The sequence below is a fragment of the Homo sapiens genome, chromosome 1, assembly GCF_000001405.40.
Source record: "Homo sapiens chromosome 1, GRCh38.p14 Primary Assembly".
Taxonomy (NCBI): Eukaryota; Metazoa; Chordata; class Mammalia; order Primates; family Hominidae; genus Homo; species Homo sapiens.
In genome coordinates, this window is record NC_000001.11 from 185,638,831 (window position 1) to 185,660,682 (window position 21,852).

A 21,852-nucleotide genomic window follows, 5' to 3' on the forward strand; every position below is an offset into this window, starting at 1 on the left:
GAAGTTCGAACAAATGGCAAAGAAGTTAAAAACCTTGAAAAAAAATTAGATGAATGGATAACTAGAATAACCAATGCAGAGAAGTCCTTAAAGGACCTGATGGAGCTGAAAACCATGGCATGAGAACTATGCAACGAATGCACAAGCCTCAGTAGCTGATGCGATCAATTGGAAGAAAGGGTATCAGCGATGGAAGATGGAATGAATGAAGTGAAGCAAGAAGAGAAGTTTAGATTGGGAGGCCGAGGCGGGCGGATCACGAGGTCAGGAGATCGAGACCATCCCGGCTAAAACTGTGAAATCCCGTCTCTACTAAAAATACAAAAAATTAGCTGGGTGTAGTGGCGGGCGCCTGTAGTCCCAGCTACTTGGGAGGCTGAGGCAGGAGAATGGCATGAACCCGGGAGGCGGAGCTTGCAGTGAGCCGAGATCCCGCCACTGCACTCCAGCCTGGGCGACAGAGCGAGACTCCGTCTCAAAAAAAAAAAAAAAAAAAAAAAAAAAAAAGAGAAGTTTAGAGAAAAAAGAATAAAAAGAAACAAACAGAGCCTCCAAGAAATATGGGACTATGTGAAAAGACCAAATCTACATCTGATTGGTGTACCTGAAAGTGACGGGGAGAATGGAACCAAGTTGGAAAACACTCTGCAGGATATTATCCAGGAGAACTTCCCCAATCTAGCAAGGCAGGCCAACATTCAAATTCAGGAAATACAGAGAATACTACAAAGATACTCCTCGAGAAGAGCAACTCCAAGACACATAATTGTCAGATTCACCAAAGTTGAAATGAAGGAAAAAATGTTAAGGGCAGCCATAGAGAAAGGTCGGGTTACCCACAAAGGGAAGCCCATCAGACTAACAGCGGATCTCTCGGCAGAAACTCTACAAGCCAGAAGAGAGTGGGGGCCAATATTCAACATTTTTAAAGAAAAGAATTTTCAACCCAGAATTTCATATCCAGCCAAACTAAGCTTCATAAGTGAAGGAGAAATAAAATACTTTACAGACAAGCAAATGCTGAGAGATTTTGTCACCACCAGGCCTGCCCGAAAAGAGCTCCTGAAGGAAGCACTAAACATGGAAAGGAACAACCGGTACCAGCCACTGCAAAAACATGCCAAATTGTAAAGACCATCAAAGCTAGGAAGAAACTGCATCAACTAACGAGCAAAATAACCAGCTAACATCATAATGACAGGATCAAATTCACACATAACAATACCTTAAATATAAATGGGCTAAATGCTCTAATTAAAAGGTGCAGACTGGCAAATTGGATAAAGAGTCAAGACCCATCAGTGTGCTGTATTCAGGAAACCCATCTCGTGTGCAGAGACACACATAGGCTCAAAATAAAGGGATGGAGGAAGATCTACCAAGCAAATGGAAAACAAAAAAAGGCAGGGGTTGCAATCCTAGTCTCTGATAAAACAGACTTTAAACCAACAAAGATCAAAAGAGACAAAAAAGGCCATTACATGATGGTAAAGGGATCAATTCAACAGGAAGAACTAACTATCCTAAATATGTATGCACCCAATACAGGAGCACCCAAATTCATGAAGCAAGTCCTTAGAGACCTACAAAGAGACTTAGACTCCCACACAATAATAATGGGAGACTTTAACACCCCACTGTCAACATTAGACAGATCAATGAGACAGAAAGTTAACAAGGATATCCAGGAACTGAACTCAGCTCTGTACCAAGAGAACCTAATAGACATCTACAGAACTCTCCACCCCAAATCAACAGAATATACATTCTTTTCAGCACCACACCACACCTATTCCAAAACTGACCACATATTGGAAGTAAAGCACTCCTCAGCAAATGTAGAAGAACAGAAATTATAACAAACTGTCTCTCAGACTGCAGTGCAATCAAACTAGATCTCAGGATTAAGAAACTCACTCAACACTGCTCAACTACATGGAAACTGAACAACCTGCTCCTGAATGACTACTGGGTACATAACGAAATGAAGGCAGAAATAAAGATGTTCTTTGAAACCAATGAGAACAAAGACACAACATACCAGAATCTCTGGGACACATTCAAAGTAGTGTGTAGAGGGAAATTTATAGCACTAAATGCCCACAAGAGAAAGCAGGAAAGATCTAAAATTGACACCCTAACATCACAATTAAAAGAGCTAGAGAAGCAAGAGCAAACACATTCAAAAGCTAGCAGAAGGCAAGAAATAACTAAGATCAGAGCAGAACTGAAGGAAATAGAGACACAAAAAACCCTTCAAAAAATCAATGAATCCAGGAGCTTGTTTTTTGAAAAGATCAACAAAATTGATAGACCGCTAGCAAGACTAATAAAGAAGAAAAGAGAGAAGAATCAAATAGACGCAATAAAAAATGACAAAGGGGATATCACCACCGATCCCACAGAAATACAAACTACCATCAGAGAACACTATAAACACCTCTGTGCAAATAAACTAGAAAATCTAGAAGAAATGGATACATTCCTTGACACATACACCCTCCCAAGACTAAACCAGGAAGAAGTTGAATCTCTGAATAGACCAATAACAGGCTCTGAAATTGAGGTAATAATTAATAGCTTGCCAACCAAAAAAAGTCCAGTACCAGACAGATTCACAGCCGAATTCTACCAGAGGTACAAGGAGGAGCTGGTACCATTCCTTCTGAAACTATTCCAGTCAATAGAAAAAGATGGAATCCTCCCTAACTCATTTTATGAAGCCAGCATCATCCTGATACCAAAGCCTGGCAGAGACACAACAAAAAAAGAGAATTTTAGACCAATATCCTTGATGAACATTGATACAAAAATCCTCAATAAAATACTGGCAAACTGAATCCCGCAGCACATCAAAAAGCTTATCCACTATGATCAAGTGGGCTTCATCCCTGGGATGCAAGGCTGGTTCAACATACGCAAATCAATAAATGTAATCCAGCATATAAACAGAACCAAAGACAAAAACCACATGATTATCTCAATAGATGCAGAAAAGTCCTTTGACAAAATTCAACGGCCCTTCATGCTAAAAACTCTCAATAAGTTGGGTATTGGTGGGACTTATCTCAAAATAATAAGAGCTATCTACGACAAACCCACAGCCCGTATCATATTGAATGGACAAAAACTGGAAGCATTCCCTTTGAAATGTGGCACAAAACAGGGATGCCCTCTCTCACCACTCCTATTCAACATAGTGTTGGAAGTTCTGGCCAGGGCAATCAGGCAGGAGAAGGAAATAAAGGGCGTTCAGTTAGGAAAAGAGGAAGTCAAATTGTCCCTGTTTGCAGATGACATGATTGTATATCTAGAAAACCCCATCGTCTCAGCCCAAAATCTCCTTAAGCTGATAAGCAACTTCAGCAATGTCTCAGGTTACAAAATCAATGTGCAAAAATCACAAGCATTCTTATACACCAATAACAGACAAACAGAGAGCCAAATCATGAGTGAACTCCCATTCACAATTGCTTCAAAGAGAATAAAATACCTAGGAATCCAACTTACAAGGGACATGAAGGACCTCTTCAAGGAGAACTACAAACCACTGCTCAATGAAATAAAAGAGGATACAAACAAGTGGAAGAACATTCCATGCTCATGGGTAGGAAGAATCAATATCGTGAAAATGGCCAAGGTACTGGCCAAGGTAATTTATAGATTCAATGCCATCCCCATCAAGCTACCAATGACTTTCTTCACAGAATTGGAAGAAAACCACTTTAAGTTCATATGGAACCAAAAAAGAGCCCGCCCACATTGACAAGTCAATCCTAAGCCAAAAGAACAAAGCTGGAGGCATCACACTACCTGACTTCAAACTATACTACAAGGCTACAGTAACCAAAACAGCATGGTACTCGTACCAAAACAGAGATACAGACCAATGGAACAGAACAGAGGCCTCAGAAATAATGCCGCATATCTACAACCATCTGATCTTTGACAAACCTGACAAAAGCAAGCAATGGGGAAAGGAGTCCCTATTTAATAAATGGTGCTGGGAAAACTGGCTAGCCATATGTAGAAAGCTGAAACTGGATCCCTTCCTTATACCTTATACAAAAATTAATGCAAGATGGATTAAAGACTTACATGTTAGTCCTAAAACCATAAAAACCCTGGAAGAAAACCCAGGCAATACTATTCAGGACATAGTCATGGGCAAGGACTTCATGTCTAAAATACCAAAAGCAATGGCAACAAAAGCCAAAATTAACAAATGGGATCTAATTAAACTAAAGAGCTTCTGCACAGCAAAAGAAACTACCATCAGAGTGAACAGGCAACCTACAGAATGGGAGAAAATTTTTGCAATCTACTCATCTGACAAAGGGCTAATATCCAGAATCTACAATGAACTCAAACAAATTTACAAGAAACAAACAACCCCATCAAAAAGTGGGCAAGGGATATAAACAGACACTTCTCAAAAGAAGACATTTATGCAGTCAAAAAACACATGAAAAAATGCTCATCATCACTGGCCATCAGAGAAATGCAAATCAAAACCACAGTGAGATACCATCTCACACCAGTTAGAATGGCGGTCATTAAAAAGTCAGGAAACAACAGGTACTGGAGAGGATGTGGAGAAATAAGAACACTTTTACACTGTTGGTGGGACTGTAAACTAGTTCAACCATTGTGGAAATCAGTGTAGTGATTCCTCAGGGATCTAGAACTAGAAATACCATTTGACCCAGCCATTCCATTACTGGGTATATACCCAAAGGATTATAAATCATGCTGCTATAAAGACACATGCACATGTATGTTTACTGCAGCACTATTCACAATAGCAAAGACTTGGAACTGACCCAAATGTCCAACAATGATAGACTGGATTAAGAAAATGTGGCACATATACACCATGGAATACTATGCAGCCATAAGAAGTGATGAGTTCATGTCCTTTGCAGGGACATGGATGAAGCTGGAAACCATCATTCTCAGCAAACTATTGCAAGGACAAAAAACCAAACACTGCGTTTTCTCAGTCATAGGTGGGAATTCAACAATGAGAACACATGGACACAGGAAGGGGAACATCATACACCGGGGACTGTTGTGGGGTGGGGGGAGGGGGGGAGGGATAGCATTAGGAGATATACCTAATGCTAAATGACGAGTTAATGGGTGCAGCACACCAACATGGCACATGTATACATATGTAACAAACCTGCATGTTGTGCACATGTACCCTAAAACTTAAAGTATAGTAATAATAAAATAAAAAAAAAGAAGGGAAACAACATTTGAACTAAAGCATAAAAATGACACATATTTTAATTGATAAATCTGAATGCAAAATGATGCCAACAATGAAACCATAAAAAGATTGTGTCTTTCTAAAGCCTTAAGCTTTATAGTTGGTTGAATATTTGTCTTCTATTAGTATATTGCTGTGCTCATTTTCCCTGAGCACCTAGGTCTCTCAGCACCAGTGACTATGTTCCATTTGACTAGATTTAAAGTGCTAGTGGATAAAACTTCTGGATTCTGGGCCTGGCAGGCTATTTCATGTTCTCTGATAAACATTGAAAAACATCTCTAAGTTCTTCCATCATGGGACATGTGCAAGATGTATTTCAATTTTCCATGGCATTACAACTGTAGTTGCCTGACTGTTCTTCTTGCCCACTGCACAAACAAAACCAGTTTACTGAGACCATGGTACTATGGTATATAATTAATTAATTAGCACAAGGCCAGCTATGCAGAAGAACTGGAGTTATCACTCAAATCAGTCTTCCTGAACGTTCAGAGGTTAGGGTTTTGCAAGCATAGTTTGGTGGGAAGAGAACTAGGGAATGGGTACTGCTGATTGGCTGGGGATGCAATTATAGAGGTGTGGAAAATAGTCTTTGTGCATTGAGTCTGTCTCTGGATGGGTGGTTGTGGGGTGGGTGGGGGCCCACAGGACAGATGAGTCATCAGTGACTAGTCCAGGTTGGGTAAGTCTGAAAAACATCTCAAAAGAGCAATCTTAGTTCTACAATAGTGATGTTACCTATAGGTGCAGCTGGGGAAGCAATGAATCTTATGACCTCTGGCCACATAACTCCTGAGCAGTAAGGGATTGTAGAAACAGCATCTACATTTTAGCAGAATTCAGGGCCCTCCCATAATCCTAATCTTGGTAGGCTTCATTAGTTTTACAAACCTCAATATAATATGATTAGCTATGGCATCAAAAATCAGTGTAATATTGGTCCATCTTATTGTAGGAACCAAGGGAAAACTTCCCCTTCACCCTCCAAGGGATCACTAATAATCAACTGACAAAAGACAGATAAGTAGGAGAAAAGGCATACGAAAGTTTGTTTTAACATGGTTAGCACTGGGGAACTTAAGGAGGAAGATTGCCTAATAACCCAATGTGGTACAGAAGCTTATATACTCTCTTCCATAGGGGAGGGGAGAGATGGGGAATGTAGGCAATTCCTTTGAGGGACCACAGATGATTATTAGGGAGAACAGTGAACTTGTAAATGATTCTCTTTGGAATTTGAATGAGCCCTAGAGGCTGGAATTATGTTGTGAAAAAGTCCATCTCCCTGTAGTTGCATTCCTTAGTCTTCTTTTCTGAGACAGATAATGAGATTTCAGAGAAGGGAGGAAAACAATTGTATTTCTCTTAGAAAGAAGATTTCTTGGTCAGATAAGGAAATTCCAGAGAGAGTCCCTCCCTGTGCTTGAGGCAAGGGCTGAGGGACAAGGCAAAGTTAGAGGGACCTTGATTTGCGGGCTGCGTCTAAGGCCTCTTAGCCTGTCATAGCACCAGTGTTTGGGTTATTGCTTTCTGAGCCCCAACGTTATACTCTATCCAAAGGTTTATTTTATTTTAATTTTTTATAAACTCTATGTCCAAACAACTGTAAAACTCACAACATGTGACCTAAGGGTATCATAGTGAGGTTACAGTGACCTAGTAGTCAGTGTGTAATTTCTAGGATTTAAACGGTAAGCTGTTTTCTCTGTGGAGAATGACACTATAGTATACTATTTGGGGTTATGGGCAAGCTAATAGATTTGGCAGTTCTCATTTTTTCCCCTTGGTCAAAAACTACTCAAGTTCTGAATGCAAATAAGAGATCTCAGAGCAGCCTCAAGTACTCAAAACACTGAACATGGCTCTATAAAACAACAGGGTATAATGAGCTATCTTGGTTTCCAAATTGGGTCTGGGATTTTCCAAATTTTACCCCAAATACTGTCCTTTTGGCTTTAATACTCTCTGTACCAGATATATCAGAATGAGAGAATCAAGAGTAAAACAAACTTGCATTTCCCAAACAGAGAATCAATAATCTTTTTGGAAGAAAATTTTAAAGGATATCAATCATTAAAAAAAGCAAGTCTGGAAACGATGATGTGTCACTCATTATGCAAATATCATGCTAACTCATAAGGGTGCTTTTCAGACCAGATTATTCTACTTTCAGACAAGCCCACCATATTAGCTTCATTGCACAATATTTAATCTCTGTCCTTGAAGTTCACAAATTAACTTGCTCTGTGATTTCCTCCTTGTGATAGCCTCTGGCTGTGTTTTTACTGCCTTAACAGCTACTGGCAGGCAGCTTGTCTCCCACATTCACTACAAAGCAAACAGGAATTTGGTCCCAGGGTAATTGGCTGTTCTCCAGCATAAGAATGCAAGTTATTCATGAGCTTTGTGAGCTTGCTTCTGACTAACACAGACTGTTTTCACTAGGGAGCACAGGGACAAAAAGAGTTGTGAAGTTTTGAGTCTTCAGGATTATTCCTTTCAAGTATGTGATAACCTGTGATTCTTCTCCCCAACTATTTTCTAACCGTCCCCGACCTTTTCCACTTCCTTTCATTTCGTAGTGACTACCAGAAATTTACCAAGGAAGCTGCCATGAAATAACATGTTTCTTTTAGAAATACAACTGACTCAATAGACAGCTATGGATGTGCTGTTATTTTGGAGATACAGTAAGTTTACAGAACTTTTAAAATTAAATCTTAAGCAAAATATGTGGGTAAATGCCAAATAGATTGGTGAGAGCCTAGGTTAACAGTAATTCAAAAAAAAAATGGAGAAAAAGACTTGCAGTTTCAAAGATAGGAGCATATATACTTTAAATTTTGAGGTGCTGAATAACAGATTTAAAGTTTACAAAAAATTAAGAGGTTTAAACAAAAATAAAAAAAAAGCTACCCATTCATCATGGTCGGAAGAAAGTAAAAGAGAGAATTCTAAGCTCCTAAAAACAGGGGCATCTAAAAAGATTTTCCTTCTTTATTATCTTACCTGAGAGGTCCATACTGTAAATCTAGATACCATGTTTTCTAAATTATTCTGGAACTACACTACCCACACGACTGTAATATTTAAAATGATTGTCCAAAAATGTATTTAACAGAGACACCAACAAATGTTTGAGACTTACAAACAAGATAAATTTGTTAATTCCTTTAGTTCACTCAAAGCTGTACAATGATAAAAAAACCAAAATATTAAATATACTGTACACCCTGATTTATTTAAATTTTTATTATTACTTGCTGAAAACTTGAATGGAAAGATTTTGCTTTTTTGTAATGCAATTGTCAATGGAAAGAATTAAACTCTGTAAAATATTTGAAGAGATTTATTCTGAGCCAAATGTGAGTGACCATGGCCCGGGAGGTCCTGAGAACATGGGCCCAAGGTGGCTGGGGTGCAGCTTGGTTTTATACATTTTAGGGAGGCATGAGACATCAATCAAATACATTTAAGAAATACATTGGTTTGGTCTACAAAGGCAGGGCCATTCAAAATAGGGGCTTCCAGGCTGTAGGGAAATTTAAACATTTTCTGGTTGACAATTGGTTGAGTTTGTTTAAAGACCTGGGATCAACAGAAAGGAATGTCTGGGTTGTGATAACATGTCGTAGAGACCAAAGTTTTACTATACAGATGAAGCTTTTAGCTAGCAAGCATCAGAGAAAATAGATTGTAAAATGCTTCTTATCAGACTTAAAATCTGTGTTGATGTTAATGCCAGAGAGGTATAATGAAGCCTGTTCAACCCCCACTTCCTGTCATGGCCTGAAACAGTCTCTCAGGTTAAGTTTTAAAAGTCCTAATGTGTCCGGAATTGGTGGGTTCTTGGTCTCACTGACTTCAAGAATGAAGCCGCAGACCCTTGCGGTGAGTGTTACAGTTCTTAAAGATGGTGTGTCTGGAGTTTGTTCCATCTCATGTTTGGACGTGCTCGGAGTTTCTTCCTTCTGGTAGGTTCATGGTCTCGCTGGCTTCAGGAGTGAAGCTGCAGACCTTTGCGGTGAGTGTTACAGCTCTTAAGACGGCACGTCTGGAGTTGTTCGTTCCTCCTGTCCGGAGTTGTTCATTCCTCCCATCTGGAGTTGTTCATTCCTCCCAGTGGGTTCATGGTCTCACTGGCCTCAGGAGTGAAGCTGCAGACCTTTGCAGTGAGTGTTACAGCTCTTAAAGGTGGTGTGTCCAGAGTTGTTCATCCCTCCTGGTGGGTTCATGGTCTTACTGGCTTCAGGAGTGAAGCTGCAGACCTTCACCGTGAGTGTTACAGCTCATAAAGGCAGTGCGGACCCAAGGAGTCAGCAGCAGCAAGATTTATTGTAAAGAGCAAAAGAACAAAGCTTCCACAGTGTGGAAGGAGACCCCAGCAGGTTGCCCCTGCTGGCTCTGGCAGCCTGCTTTTATTCCCTTATCTGGCCCCATCCACATTCTGCTGATTGGCCCATTTTACAGAGAGCTGATTGGTCCGTTTTACAGAGAGCTGATTGGTCTGTTTTGACAGGGTGCTGATTGGTACATTTACAATCTGGCTAGACACAGAGTGCTGATTGGTGCATTTACAAACCTTGAGCTAGATACAGAGTGCTGATTGGTGTATTTACATACTTTAGCTAGACATAAAAGTTCTCCAAGTCCCCACCAGATTAGCTAGATACAGAGTGCTGATTGGTGCATATACAATCCTCCAGCTAGACATAAAAGTTCTCTAAGTCCCCACCCAACTCAGGAGCCCAGCTGGCTTCGCCTAGTGGATCCCATACCAGGACTGCGGGTGGAGCTGCCCGCCAGTCCCGCGCCACATGCCTGCACTCCTCAGCTCTTGGGTGGTCGATGGGCCTGGGTGCTACGCAGCAGGGGGCAGTGCCCGTCGGGGAGGCTCAGGTCGCCAGGGAGCTCACTGTGGGGGGGCTCGGGCATGGCGGGCTGCAGGTCCCAAGCCCTGCCCCGCGGGGAGGTGGCTGAGGCCCGGCGAGAATTCAAGTGTGGGGCAGGCGGGCTGGCAGTGCTGGGGGACCCAGTGCCCCCTCCGCAGCTGCTGGCCCGGGAGCTAATCCCCTCACTGCCCAGGGCCGGTGGCGCCGGCCAGCCACTCCGAGTGCGGGGCCTGCCGGGCCCGCGCCCACCCCGAACTTGCGCTGGCCCGCGAGTGCTGTGTGCAGCTCCGGTTCCCTTCCATGCCTCTCCCTCCACACCTCCCAGCAAGCAGTGGGAGCCAGCTCCGGCCTTGGCCAGCCCAGAGAGGGGCTCCCACAGTGCAGCGGTAGGCTGAAGGGCTCCTCAGCATGGCCAGAGCGGACGCTGAGGCCGAGGAGGTGCTGAGAGCAAGTGAGGGCTGCTAGCACGTTGTCACCTCTCACTAACTGAGGGGGAAGTCCATCCAGATGGTTGAGGGGTCTTAGAATTTTATTTTTGGTTTATGTAATTTATAAGTGAATCAGTTCTTTCACACTTCAGTTCCCTATCCTTGTGTGGCATCATCTCTCTCTCTTGATCATGCATCTACCTTTGGATTGGCGCTTGGCAGTTTCGTGGGACTCTCTGAGTAGACACACGGAGATTTGCAAAGATCTGTTTTACTTAGATGTCCGAGGAGGAATATTAATTAATTTTAGCATGCCACCTGCAGCTTGTAAGCCCAGCATAGTTCACAGATCAAATGCTTGCATTCCAGCTGCTGGAGCTCTAAAGTTAAGTGGTTAGGATTTTTGCCCTCAAGGAGTCCTCAGTCCAGTGGAGAATCCAGATGCACAAACAAACATTGATGATGAAATATAAGTGTAGTAAAGAAGAATGTGGCAAATTGTGTAGGGGTGAAGGGAAAGCTTCCCCTTCACTCTCAGAAGGTTCCGTGAAAAATTCAGTTCACAAAAGGCAGATTAATAGGAGAAAAAGGATACTAAAAGAAACTGACCAAACTTACTTGATCATAGTTTATTTGATCATAGTTTCCCATGACACAGGAGCCTTCAGAATGAAGATTCAACTCCCCAGTGGGGTACAGGAGCTTGTATATCACCTTGAGATTACAGAAAGAACAGGAGCTTGGAGCATGGCCAAAACCAGGTTATGGTGGTAAATCAGATTTTAGTGAAGAGACAGGTTATGGGAGGGAGAGAAGGGGAGGCTTGGCTATTAAAAGTGGTCTTGGTATGGAGATAAAACCTCACAGGTAGCAGCCCTCAGAGAGGATAAATGGACAATGTTTCTTTCGGATATTTAAATGTGTCAGACTCTTGGTTAATCTTTCCTAGATCTGGATTAGGGAAGGCCTGGTTGCGTTAATGCAGATTGCTAATGATGCAAATTTCCCCCACAAAAGACAGCTTTGCAGGACCAGTTCTGTTTACTGACCCCCTGACAGCCATCCCAAAATATGTCAAAGAAATATATTTGGGGCTGAAATATTTTTATTTCCTTTAGCTGCCATGGGAGCGTGGATGAGAAAGCAATTCATCTCGAAATGGAGATTAGTAAATGTGAGCCTTAGAGAGGACAGATGTCTGAGCAGAGCTTTGAATCACATGTTAGGGAGGTGGAGTTTGGAAGGAGGAAGGCATGATGCTGCGAGAACACGGTACTTCTGTGGAGTGGTCAGGGGAGAGTGGCTAGAGAAAGAGGTGGACATAGTGAAGGGCCATGAGGTTTGAACTTTGGACTTCCTTCTGTAGATAGGAGTCTTCAGAGAAAGTAGCATAATCACAGCCAGGTGCCATTTGGAATTTTACGAGTGAGGCATCCAAGTGTTTGTTCAATGCTTGTAAACCAACCTTGTTGTAGGTGTGGATTCATAAACTGATTTACACACTTGGATAATGGGTTATTATGAGCCAATTATTTCTTAGAGACTGAAAAAGTTCTTAGTAACTGAAACCTTCTGCCTCAGGACATAGGAAGGGCAGGATAAAAGTAATCAGGCTTAGAATGTTTCTCACCAAGACCAGTTTGAGCAAGATTAGACATTTCAATAGTCAGATCTTTTCTCTTCAGGGCAGCTGTAGCAGCATAGCAAGACTCAGATGTGAGTGCCAGGGTCTGTTTAAAGCTTCCTCACCAGCTGTGAACTCTTTGGCAAGTCACTTCTTTGATTCTCAATTCTTCTACTATAAAATGAGGAATATAATCATATCTATTTGTTTCAGAGGTGGTTGTGAGGATTAAACAAAATTAAATGAGCTAATATAAGCATTTTTTGGATGTCATAAAGTATTGTGAAAAGTATGGGGTTATGGTTATAACTATCAAAAGTAGAAGTCTAACTGATTATAAAAATACCAATAATGATTATTATTTATTGAAGGTTTGTTTTGTGCTGGCCCTATTCTAAATTCTTTACATATGTGATCTTATAATTCTTATAGTAATCCTATAGGGGAGGTTTTTACAGAGAAGGAAACTAAGGCTTGACAAGGTTGAACAATTCATAAGCAATAGAGCCAGAAATCAGAAGTCATACTTTGCTGACTACAAGCCTGGGCTTATAATCACTACTTTTCCAATCAATCTTTTATTTTCATTTTTTTTTTCTTTTTTTATAGATAGGTCTTACCTATGTTGCCCAGGCTGGTCTTGAACACTTGAGCTCAAGTGATTTTCCCACCACGGCTTCCTAAGTTGAATCAATCTTTTCAAAATGCTTGTTTTTTACTTTAAAGTTTAGGCAACTGACAAGAAATTATCAACACATCATCATTGCAGAATTACTAGGCTGAAGTTTCTCATGTTCCTTCTATCAGAACTAGGAATCTACAGATAGAAAATGTGATCCCTTTTTTTTTCTTATATATGAACACGAGCTATTATTGTTGACTACAAATAAAATATGCTCTGAGTTTTGTTGTCAAAATATGACTTGAGGAATAGTTTAATATGAAATTCATTTCTTTTTTTAGGGAGGCAAAACCACACAGTCTTTCAAATTATGTTCTCTATTATTTTGTCCTTTATTGACAAAACTGTTTAAGAAGAATAGAGCACAGAAACGCTGGAACACTGTTCCTCACCTCCTACTCTGACATCTAAAGATCCATCTTCCCTTGAAGAATGAATAAAGAGGACATAGTTTGTCACTTTCAGGTCCAAGAGATACTGAGAAAACTAAAATAGGGGCAGCTGTGTTTCCATAATGTTGTTGAGTATTCAAAAGGGCTATATAAATTGAGCTTTTACTTCAATAGTGTTGAAGTTTTAAAAAGGGGTGGACTATAATTAGTTATACATACACCATATTAGAAACCCTGAGTTGGTCTAATTATTAACAGGGTTAAATCAAACCCAGTGTCTGTATTTGTTGATGGAAACCTTGCTGCATCTCTGGGATATAATCTCAGTGGCTTTCATCCCATCTTTCTCTAAATGGGTGTCAGTGCCCTAGCAATGACCTTGGGTACTGGAATAGACTCAGGTCTCCCCACGCATGGTTTTGCTGCCAGGCAGTAGATGGCAGAATTGAGCTTGACTTTTATGGTTGCCTTTCTTCTCACTTGCCTCCATTGGTGAAGTTGAAGTACTCTTAAGCTACTTGTTAAAATAGCTTTTTTTAAAAAAAAAAATCACAAATAATTCTATGTGTCTGTTTTATTCCATTTGAATCTCATACATTGCCTACCGTATAATGCTTTTTTAAAGAAAAAGCTTATTGGAACTATAGTTGATTTCTTCCTCTTGTTCCAAGGTTTTCTAATCTCAAAAGGACATCACCCTCATTTTAATACTTTTTTTACCTCTGTTTTCTTTTATCCAATGTTATTAAAGCTTTCTTCTATCCTCTTCCCCATCATTTAAAAAAATTTAAAAATCAACACTAGATTTTTTATTTTATGTCCTTCAAATTATTCAGACAATTCTACTCGTCTTAAGACTGTAATAAAAATTCCTATCTCCACAGTGTGGGAGAATTGTCAAAGAAGGCAGGATCCTCTTCTGATGTAGTAGGTTGGTGCAAAAGTAATTGCGGTGTTTGCTATTTCAATGGCAACAAGGCACAATTACTTTTGCACCGACCTAATAAATGTGGGCTTTGATAAAGCTACTGTCACATACAACTTGAAATCATGAAGAGGCCCTCAGGACAAAATCTAGGAGTTGATTGAGAAAGAACAAATGGAAAGTTTGTGAAAGCAGAAATCTTCAAGTAGGATATTTTGTTTAAAGATGGGAGTGTTATGGGAAAAGGCAGAAGCCATTTGACTCAACCCTATTACTGAAGGCTGAAAAGAACATATATTTTTTAAAAATCTACCATTGAAGTAGTTTAGGAAAAATGTCTGTGAGCTGCAAACCCCCAAAGGAAAAGAACTAACTGAGAGGAATACCTCTGGAAGAACATGTTGAGATGACTAGGGTACAAATTGGGCCTGAAATTCAATGTTTATTCTGGAGAGACTAGATAAACACTTAGTACTTTAGCAGTAGTAGAACTAAAAGAAGGTACTTAAATTGGCTTAGGGTAGAAGTAGATTGCAAGAGCTCAGCCTTGAATAAATTAAATTAGTCAATTGTTTTACTTACTTATACATAATATGTACCCTGTATTTCTTCATGCTAATAGATAATATGATTTTTGCAATTTATCTGCCCTATGAAACATTTTATGGAAGACCTCAGGTAGGAAGGTTATTTAAGAGGAAAAAAAAGCAAAAGGGACAGATATCAAGGTGGAGATAGCCAAAAAACTAGAGAGCCTTTCCTGTGAGACTGCCCAAGACTTATTTCTTCTTTTTTTTTGCCTTCCCTTCCCTTCCTTTCCCTTCCATTCCCTTCCCTTCCCTTCCCTTCCTTTCCTGTCCTTTCCCTTCCCTTCCCTTCCTGTCACTTCCCGTCCCTTCCCTTCCCATCCCTTCCCTTCCTCTTTCAAGACAGAACAGAGTCTTATTCTGTTACCCAGGCTGGAGTGCAGTGGCATGATCTCAGCTCACTGTAACCTCCACCTCCTGGGTTCACGTGCTTCTCCTGCCTCAGCCCCCTGGGTAGCTGGGGTTACAGGTGTGCACCACCACACTCAGTTAATTTTTTGTATTTTTTGTAGAGACAGGGTTTTACCATGTTGGCCAGGCTGGTCTTAAACTCCTGACCTCAAGTGATCAGGCTGCCTCAGCCTCCCAAATTGCTGGGATTACAGGCATGAGCCACTGTGCCCAGCCCAAGGCCTATTTCTTTGCAATAATTTACACAGTAAAATCCAAGATTAACACTTGAATTATTGCAACGCATTCCTTCCATTTTTCCTTCCTTCCTTCTTTTTTGCCCTCACTCCTTTTCTTCTTTCCTTCCTTTCTTTCCTTTCTTTCTCTCCTCCCTCCCTCCTTCCCTCCCTTCTTTCCTTCCTCCCTTCTTACCCCTATCCTTTTCTCTTCCCTTCCCTTCCCTTTCCTTCTTTCCTTCTTTCCTTTCTCTCCTCTTTCCTTTTTTTTTCCTCAAAAAAATTTAAAGAAGGTTTAGGGGCACCTATGTACTATTTAAAAAAATGATAAAGAATGTGAGGAAGAAAATGTCCATGAACACTATTTTAAATGCCATGTCTTAATATCAGTTTCCCTTGTTATTTTCCTAGCCAGTCTTTGTCAGGGAAATAGCAGTCATTTTCCTAAGCCTAAATTTAACAGACACCTGATAACTCTGTATAGTACTTGCTGATAGGAACCGAAGTAAACAAGAGTGACGCATAGCAATGTTGTCATTTCTACTCTACCGAGTCCATGTGGGTATGGAGATAGAAAGAATGTGACTTGATTGAAAAGGAATTTGTTGTTGAATGAGAGGTTAAACTATGTTCTTAACTTTTAATCCTATGTGCAAAGCCTTTTAAATAATTTGGAAATAATATTACAAAAGGAACAATTTAACCTAAGTTAGTTGTACTCTACCATTTCTTTTTCAGAGAGAAGAATCAGTAGAGCTACATTTTCTTGGCACTCCAAAATGTGGATTTCAAAACTGTTAGTTCAGAAGTGTTCAACTTTTGCTGCCCACTGGAATTATCTGGAGAGCTGCAAAAGGACACTGATGCCTGGGCTGCACCTCCTAGAGGTCTTGATTTGATCAATCCAAAGGAAGGCCTGGGCAGTAAATTTTTAAAAGTTCCACAGGTAATTCCAAGTTGGGAACCATTGGTAGCTGGAGTAGAAGACATTTATTAAGTAATGACACAAAATGAGGTTTGGGACAAACTTTGTATATCAAGTGAAGAAATTTATCCTGTAGGTAATGGTCAACCTTTGGGGTAGACAGATAAGTGCCATAATTTTGTTAGTTTTTAAAGTGGATTGACATGGGGAGCATTGAACAGCAGGCTTCAAGTGTTGCCCCCACAGTTCATGATCCTGCAATTTGCAGGCTTGCTCTCATTTCTGCAGTCGCTTTCACATTTTGATTCTGTCTTCCCTCCCTTGTCTCTTAAACTCTGGTAGTCTTGTTAGTATGCCCTACTGTGGCATCTCCATTAAGCATGATTTGTTCTATTCAGGACTTTCTCTAAGTTATACCATTAAAGAAGTTTCCTAAACCTCAATAATTGTTTGATAATAAAGGTAAAGCCTTAAGTCTATTTAGTCTCTAAGTCTCTTCAGTTTTGAATATGTATATATGTGCGTGTGTGTATATATATATGTGTGTGTATATATAGATGTGTATATATATGTGTGTATATATGTATATATATGTGTATATATGTGTGTATATATATGTGTATATATATGTGTATATATGTGTATATATATGTGTGTATATATGTGTATATATGTGTGTATATATGTGTATATATGTGTGTATATATGTGTATATATGTGTGTATATATGTGTATATATATGTGTGCGTGTATATATATATATATGCTACTCTTTTAGAAACACGTTTCTTTTTCAAATAACCTAAAACTGACTCCTTTTCAAGAAAAATACAGTGAATAGATTTTTATTTTACATTAGGAAATGTATGGTTTATAAACTGGAAAATCAAATGGCATTGATTTTATCAAATACATTACAATGAGAATCACCTTTAAAAAATAACTACTCTACTTAATTTAAGCCTCGAGAGAGTCCTCATTGCCTGGACCAGGGACTTCCTTAAGAAATATTGGTTAAATAAATGTGTCAGAAAAAATTATGAAAGTCTTTAAAATGAGCAAAAAGGGTTATTTGTGTCTATAAAGGTCTATATCTTTCCAGAGTTATTTGAGTCTATAAAGGTCTATATCTTTCATTGTTTTGGATCCATTTTACAACTCTGTAAATTGAAAAAAAAAACTGATAGTAATGCAAATTATTTTGTCCAATGGAAATGAAAATGAACTTCATCCATCCTGTAAAAGGCATCTCATTTGCATCTTTAATAGATGTAAATTCATTTTCAGCATTTCTGATGGCCTCACGGATCAGGAGTCTGCAAGACCACCCTCAGGCTTCATGCACTAAAAGGACTCACAGGACTCAGAAAAAGCTGTCATACTCATGTTTGTGGTTTATTAGAGTGAAAGACTACAGATTAGAGTCAGCAAAAGGAAAAGGTGGGTAGGGCAGAGTCTAGGAGAAACAGGACACAAGCTTCCAGTTGGCTTCTCCCAAAGGTGTTGCATGAACAGCACTTAATTATCTTAGCAACAATGTAACACACATGTAAATTTTTGCATCCTATGAATCTCATCTGAGCCTTGGTGTCCAAGGATTTTTATTGGGGTTAGTGACAAAGGCATGCAGCGGCTATGGGACAACATTAACTACTCAGTCTCCAGCCCCCAGAGGTCAGTGTGGTTCAACAACTGATGCAGTGCGGTTCAACAACTTAGACGACAAAAACACTCCTGGCAGGCAGGAGATTTCAAGAGAGCTCAGAGGTCACCTCCTGGATGTCAGCCAAGGACCAGTCCTTTTTTTTTTGAATGTGCAGGGTTTGAGTAACCCAAGACTGCTGTGTTAACCTTTTTCTGGACACCTATATACATATATTTGTCTGTTCTTTGGATTCTCCATTGAACTGGGTATTGCTGTTACTGTTTTTGCCTTCCTAGTTCCTCATTAATGGGCTAAAATAAATCTTTGACACGTTTATGTTTGCATATGAGTCATGATTTTACTTTGTTTTTGTTTGTTTGTTTGTTTGTGTTTGTTTTTTTTTTTTGAGGCAGGGTCTCACTCTCGGTCAGGCTGGGGGGTAGTGGTGTGCACTCACGGCTCATTGCAGCCTCGACCTCGTGGGCTCAAGTGATCCTCCCCCCTCATTTTTTGATTTTTTGTAGAGAAGAGGTCTCACTATGTTGTCCAGGCTGGTCTTGAACTCTTGGGCTTAAGTGATTCTCCCTCCTTGGTCTCTTAAAGTACTGAGATTACAGGCACGTGCCACCATGCCCAGCAATTTTCCTTTTTTTCTTAAAAGTCAACCTTTAACAAATATGTGAGCATAAAAATTGCTAATACTTTTTTTTTGCTTATTTCTCCTGCCTACCGCCTTTCTTTCTTCTCCCTCTCCCCTTTTCCCTTCTCCCTTTCCCCTCTTCCCCCTTCTCCCCTCCCCACCCCTCTCCTCTCCTCCCCTACCCTCCCCTTCCTCCCTCCCTCACTCCCTCCATCCCTTCCTTCCTGCCTTGCTTTTCTTTTCTTTTTTCTCTCTCCATCCCTCTCTCTCTTTCTCTCTCTCTTTCTCCTTCCTTCCTTCCTTCCTTCCTTCCTTCCTTCCTTCCTTCCTCCCTTCCTTCCATAAATGAATGTATATTTGCCAATTGGGGCATATGGAAATGCTGAAACTTAATGTATGCCCTTATTTCACATTTCCTTTATCAACGTGAAAAGTTATCTGTGACTAAGTGCTCTTGCATGTCTATACTGAATTATAGTTTAGAGAGGCCATTCATAGATGCTGCCTCATCTGTCTTTCCCTCTATCCTATTGAGGCAGACAGATGATGGGTTTCATTTTGCAGATAATGAAATGGAGGCTTAGAGTTATAAGTGATTTGTCCAAAGTTTCCAACTGAAAAGGAGCCAGACTTTTCTTTCTAGGTACACATACTCAGCAGCTTTCTAGTGTTTACCTGAATGTCCTGCAGACATCACAAATTTAATGTACAAAATGGAAAATTTTCTCTTTCTCTGTCCTCCTCCTCAATTTCTTTCTGCTCCAACTTTTAGTCATCTATTAAGTAGCACTTCCTACTCAGTTTCTTATGCCACAAACCTGGGAGCATTCCCTGACTACCCTTTCCTTCTCTCTTACTTCCCATATCCAATCTATCACCAAGTCATTTGGATTCTATCTTTACAATAATATCTCTACTCCATCTCCTTCTTTCCATCTCCACTGTGTCCACTGTAGTTCCAGACACCAGGTTCTTCTGCAGTTTTCCTTATTTTTTACCTTTAATTGTTACTGTACTGCAACCAGAGTGCTCTTTTACTAAAAATAAATCTCATCGTTATACTTTAAATCCTTCCATGCCACAATAACTCACAGCCTGATATGCTCAAAAGTCTGTGTGGTTTACTTCTTCAACTCTCCACCCTCATTCTGTCTACCATGTTCTAACCCATGAACCTCTCTGTTCCTCAAACGTGCCAAGCTTCTTTCGGCTTTAAAGCCTTTGCCATGCTGTTTTCTCTGATTGAATATTCCTCCCCGCTGCTCTTCGTCACCCAGTTGCCTGGCTAACTCATGTCCATCCTTCAGTTTAAATGTCACTTCCTCAGACAGGCTTTCCTTAAACCCTCCAATTCAGTGTAAGTACCTCCTGTCATTTTCTAATTACACCCTGTAATTTTCCTTGTGGTACTTACTATAATTGTAATTAAATATGCTTTTGTTTCATGTTCCACTAGCTCCATGAAGGCAACAATTAAGTCTGTTTTGTCCACAACAAAACAGACTTCCAATGATAGGCCCAGAAACTAGAGAGTTAGAAAAGGGCTTGGCATACAGTAGGTACTCAATACATCTTTTTTGAAAGAATGAAAGCAAAGCAAATCCCAGAACTTCTCATTCCAAATTCAGGGATGTTTTCCTGATGTTATACTGCCTTTCTGAGTAGCCCTTTTCACATTTTTACTATCTCTCCTTCAGTTTTCCTTTTGTAAATTTAATTTTTTACTACCTCAAGTAAATTATAATTAACTCTTTTATCATTAATATTTTCAACTACTGTATTAACGGTTTGAAAATGACCATGCCCTGAAAGGTTGTTAAGTCAGTGAAGGATGTTTGAGGGTCTTATTTATTTATTTATTTTTAAGACGGAGTCTTGCTGTCACCCAGGCTGGAATGCAGTGGCGTGATCTTGGCTCCTTGCAACCCCCGCCTCCAGGGTTCAAGCAATTCTCCTGCCTCAGCCTCCCGAGTAGCTAGGATTAAAGGCACCCACCACCGTGCCCAGCTAATTTTTGTATTTTTAGTAGAGACAGGGTTTCACCATGTTGACAGTCTGGTCTCGAACTCCTGACCTCGTGATCCGCCCGCCTTGGCCTTCCAAAGTGCTGGGATTACAGGTGTGAGCCACCTTGGCTGGCCCCAAGGATCTTATTCTTAAGGCATTAAATACTAGTCCAATTGGACATTCCCATTTTCCATACAACCCTGTTTTCTTCCTTTATTGCCTCAATGGAGTCTACACTTTTCAAATATCTGCCAGTTGGCCTTTCCACACAAAACAATTCCCTTCTTTTCAAATTTCTTTTAATTTGAGGTTGAAGGTGACCATTTTTTCTCTAACCTATGCTGTATTAAAAAATATAGATATGTAAGTGATGCAGAGAGTAGCCCCCCCCACATAGAGGAGGCTTGGTAATAGTGAGAGCTACCATTTCTTAAGGAGAGGCTCTGTGACAGACATAAGGTATACATACATCATCTCCAACCCTCACAACAATCTTGGAATAGAAGTGTTATTATTTTTATTTGTATTAAGTTATTTTCTGCTATGTAACACCCACCCACTCCCCAGTTTCCAATTTAGCAGCTTAAACAACACACATTCTTAAAACTCACAGCTTCTGTGGGTCAGAAATGCAGGCCCTGCTTAGCTGGGTCCTCTGCTTCAAGGTCTCCCACAAAGCTGCACCGAAGATGTGGGCTGATGCTGCAGCCATCTCAAGGCTCAACTAGGGAAGGTCCACTTCCAAGCTTTCAGTAAATTGTATTTCCATCTTATGTGGCTGTTGGCAGGCCTCAGGTCCTTACTGGCTATTGGTCAGAGACATCAGTGTGTGTGTGTGTGTGTGTGTGTGTGTGTGTGTGTGTGTGAGAGAGAGAGAGAGAGAGAGAGAGAGAGAGAGAGAGAGGCAGCACTAGATGGAAGTTACATTACTTATGTGACCTAAGCTTGCAAGTGATAGCTCATCACTTTTGCCATATTCTATTCATTAGAAGGAATGCACTAGGTCCAACCAACCCACAGTGGTAGGGAATTACACAAGGGCATGAATACCAGAAGGTATGCATTGGGAACTATCTTAGAGGCTGCCCACAACATCCCTGGACAGAAAAAAACAAAAGAGGTGCAGATAAATTGATTAATGATGAGGCTGGAATTCAAGCCTAAATCCATCAGATCCAGACCCCTCATTCTTTCTATTGCA

The 21,852-nt window shown here is 40.3% G+C and overlaps 2 long non-coding RNA genes across 3 annotated transcripts in view, besides 1 other annotated feature; both read left to right on the forward strand.

The window, feature by feature from the left end:
* Nucleotides 1–21,852, forward strand: part of LOC107985239 (uncharacterized) — a 202,893-nt gene that overhangs the window by 160,818 nt on the left and 20,223 nt on the right. The window lies entirely within an intron of this gene.
* Nucleotides 7,143–8,056: an enhancer, noted in NCBI's record as "OCT4-NANOG-H3K27ac hESC enhancer chr1:185615105-185616018 (GRCh37/hg19 assembly coordinates)". NCBI's record gives its function as "activates a minimal SCP1, AML or CMV promoter by ChIP-STARR-seq in naive H9 embryonic stem cells {active_cell/tissue: H9 hESC(naive)}" and the evidence as "EXISTENCE:reporter gene assay evidence [ECO:0000049][PMID:30033119]".
* GS1-204I12.4 (uncharacterized) lies at nt 7,679–18,338 on the forward strand. Of its 2 annotated transcripts, none has more exons than NR_188649.1 (3): nt 7,679–7,968; nt 16,173–16,380; nt 17,647–18,338. It is a non-coding gene; the product is annotated as an uncharacterized GS1-204I12.4 (long non-coding RNA). The 2 variants fall into 2 exon arrangements; NR_188650.1 differs by lacking the exon at nt 7,679–7,968 and adding an exon at nt 8,939–9,169.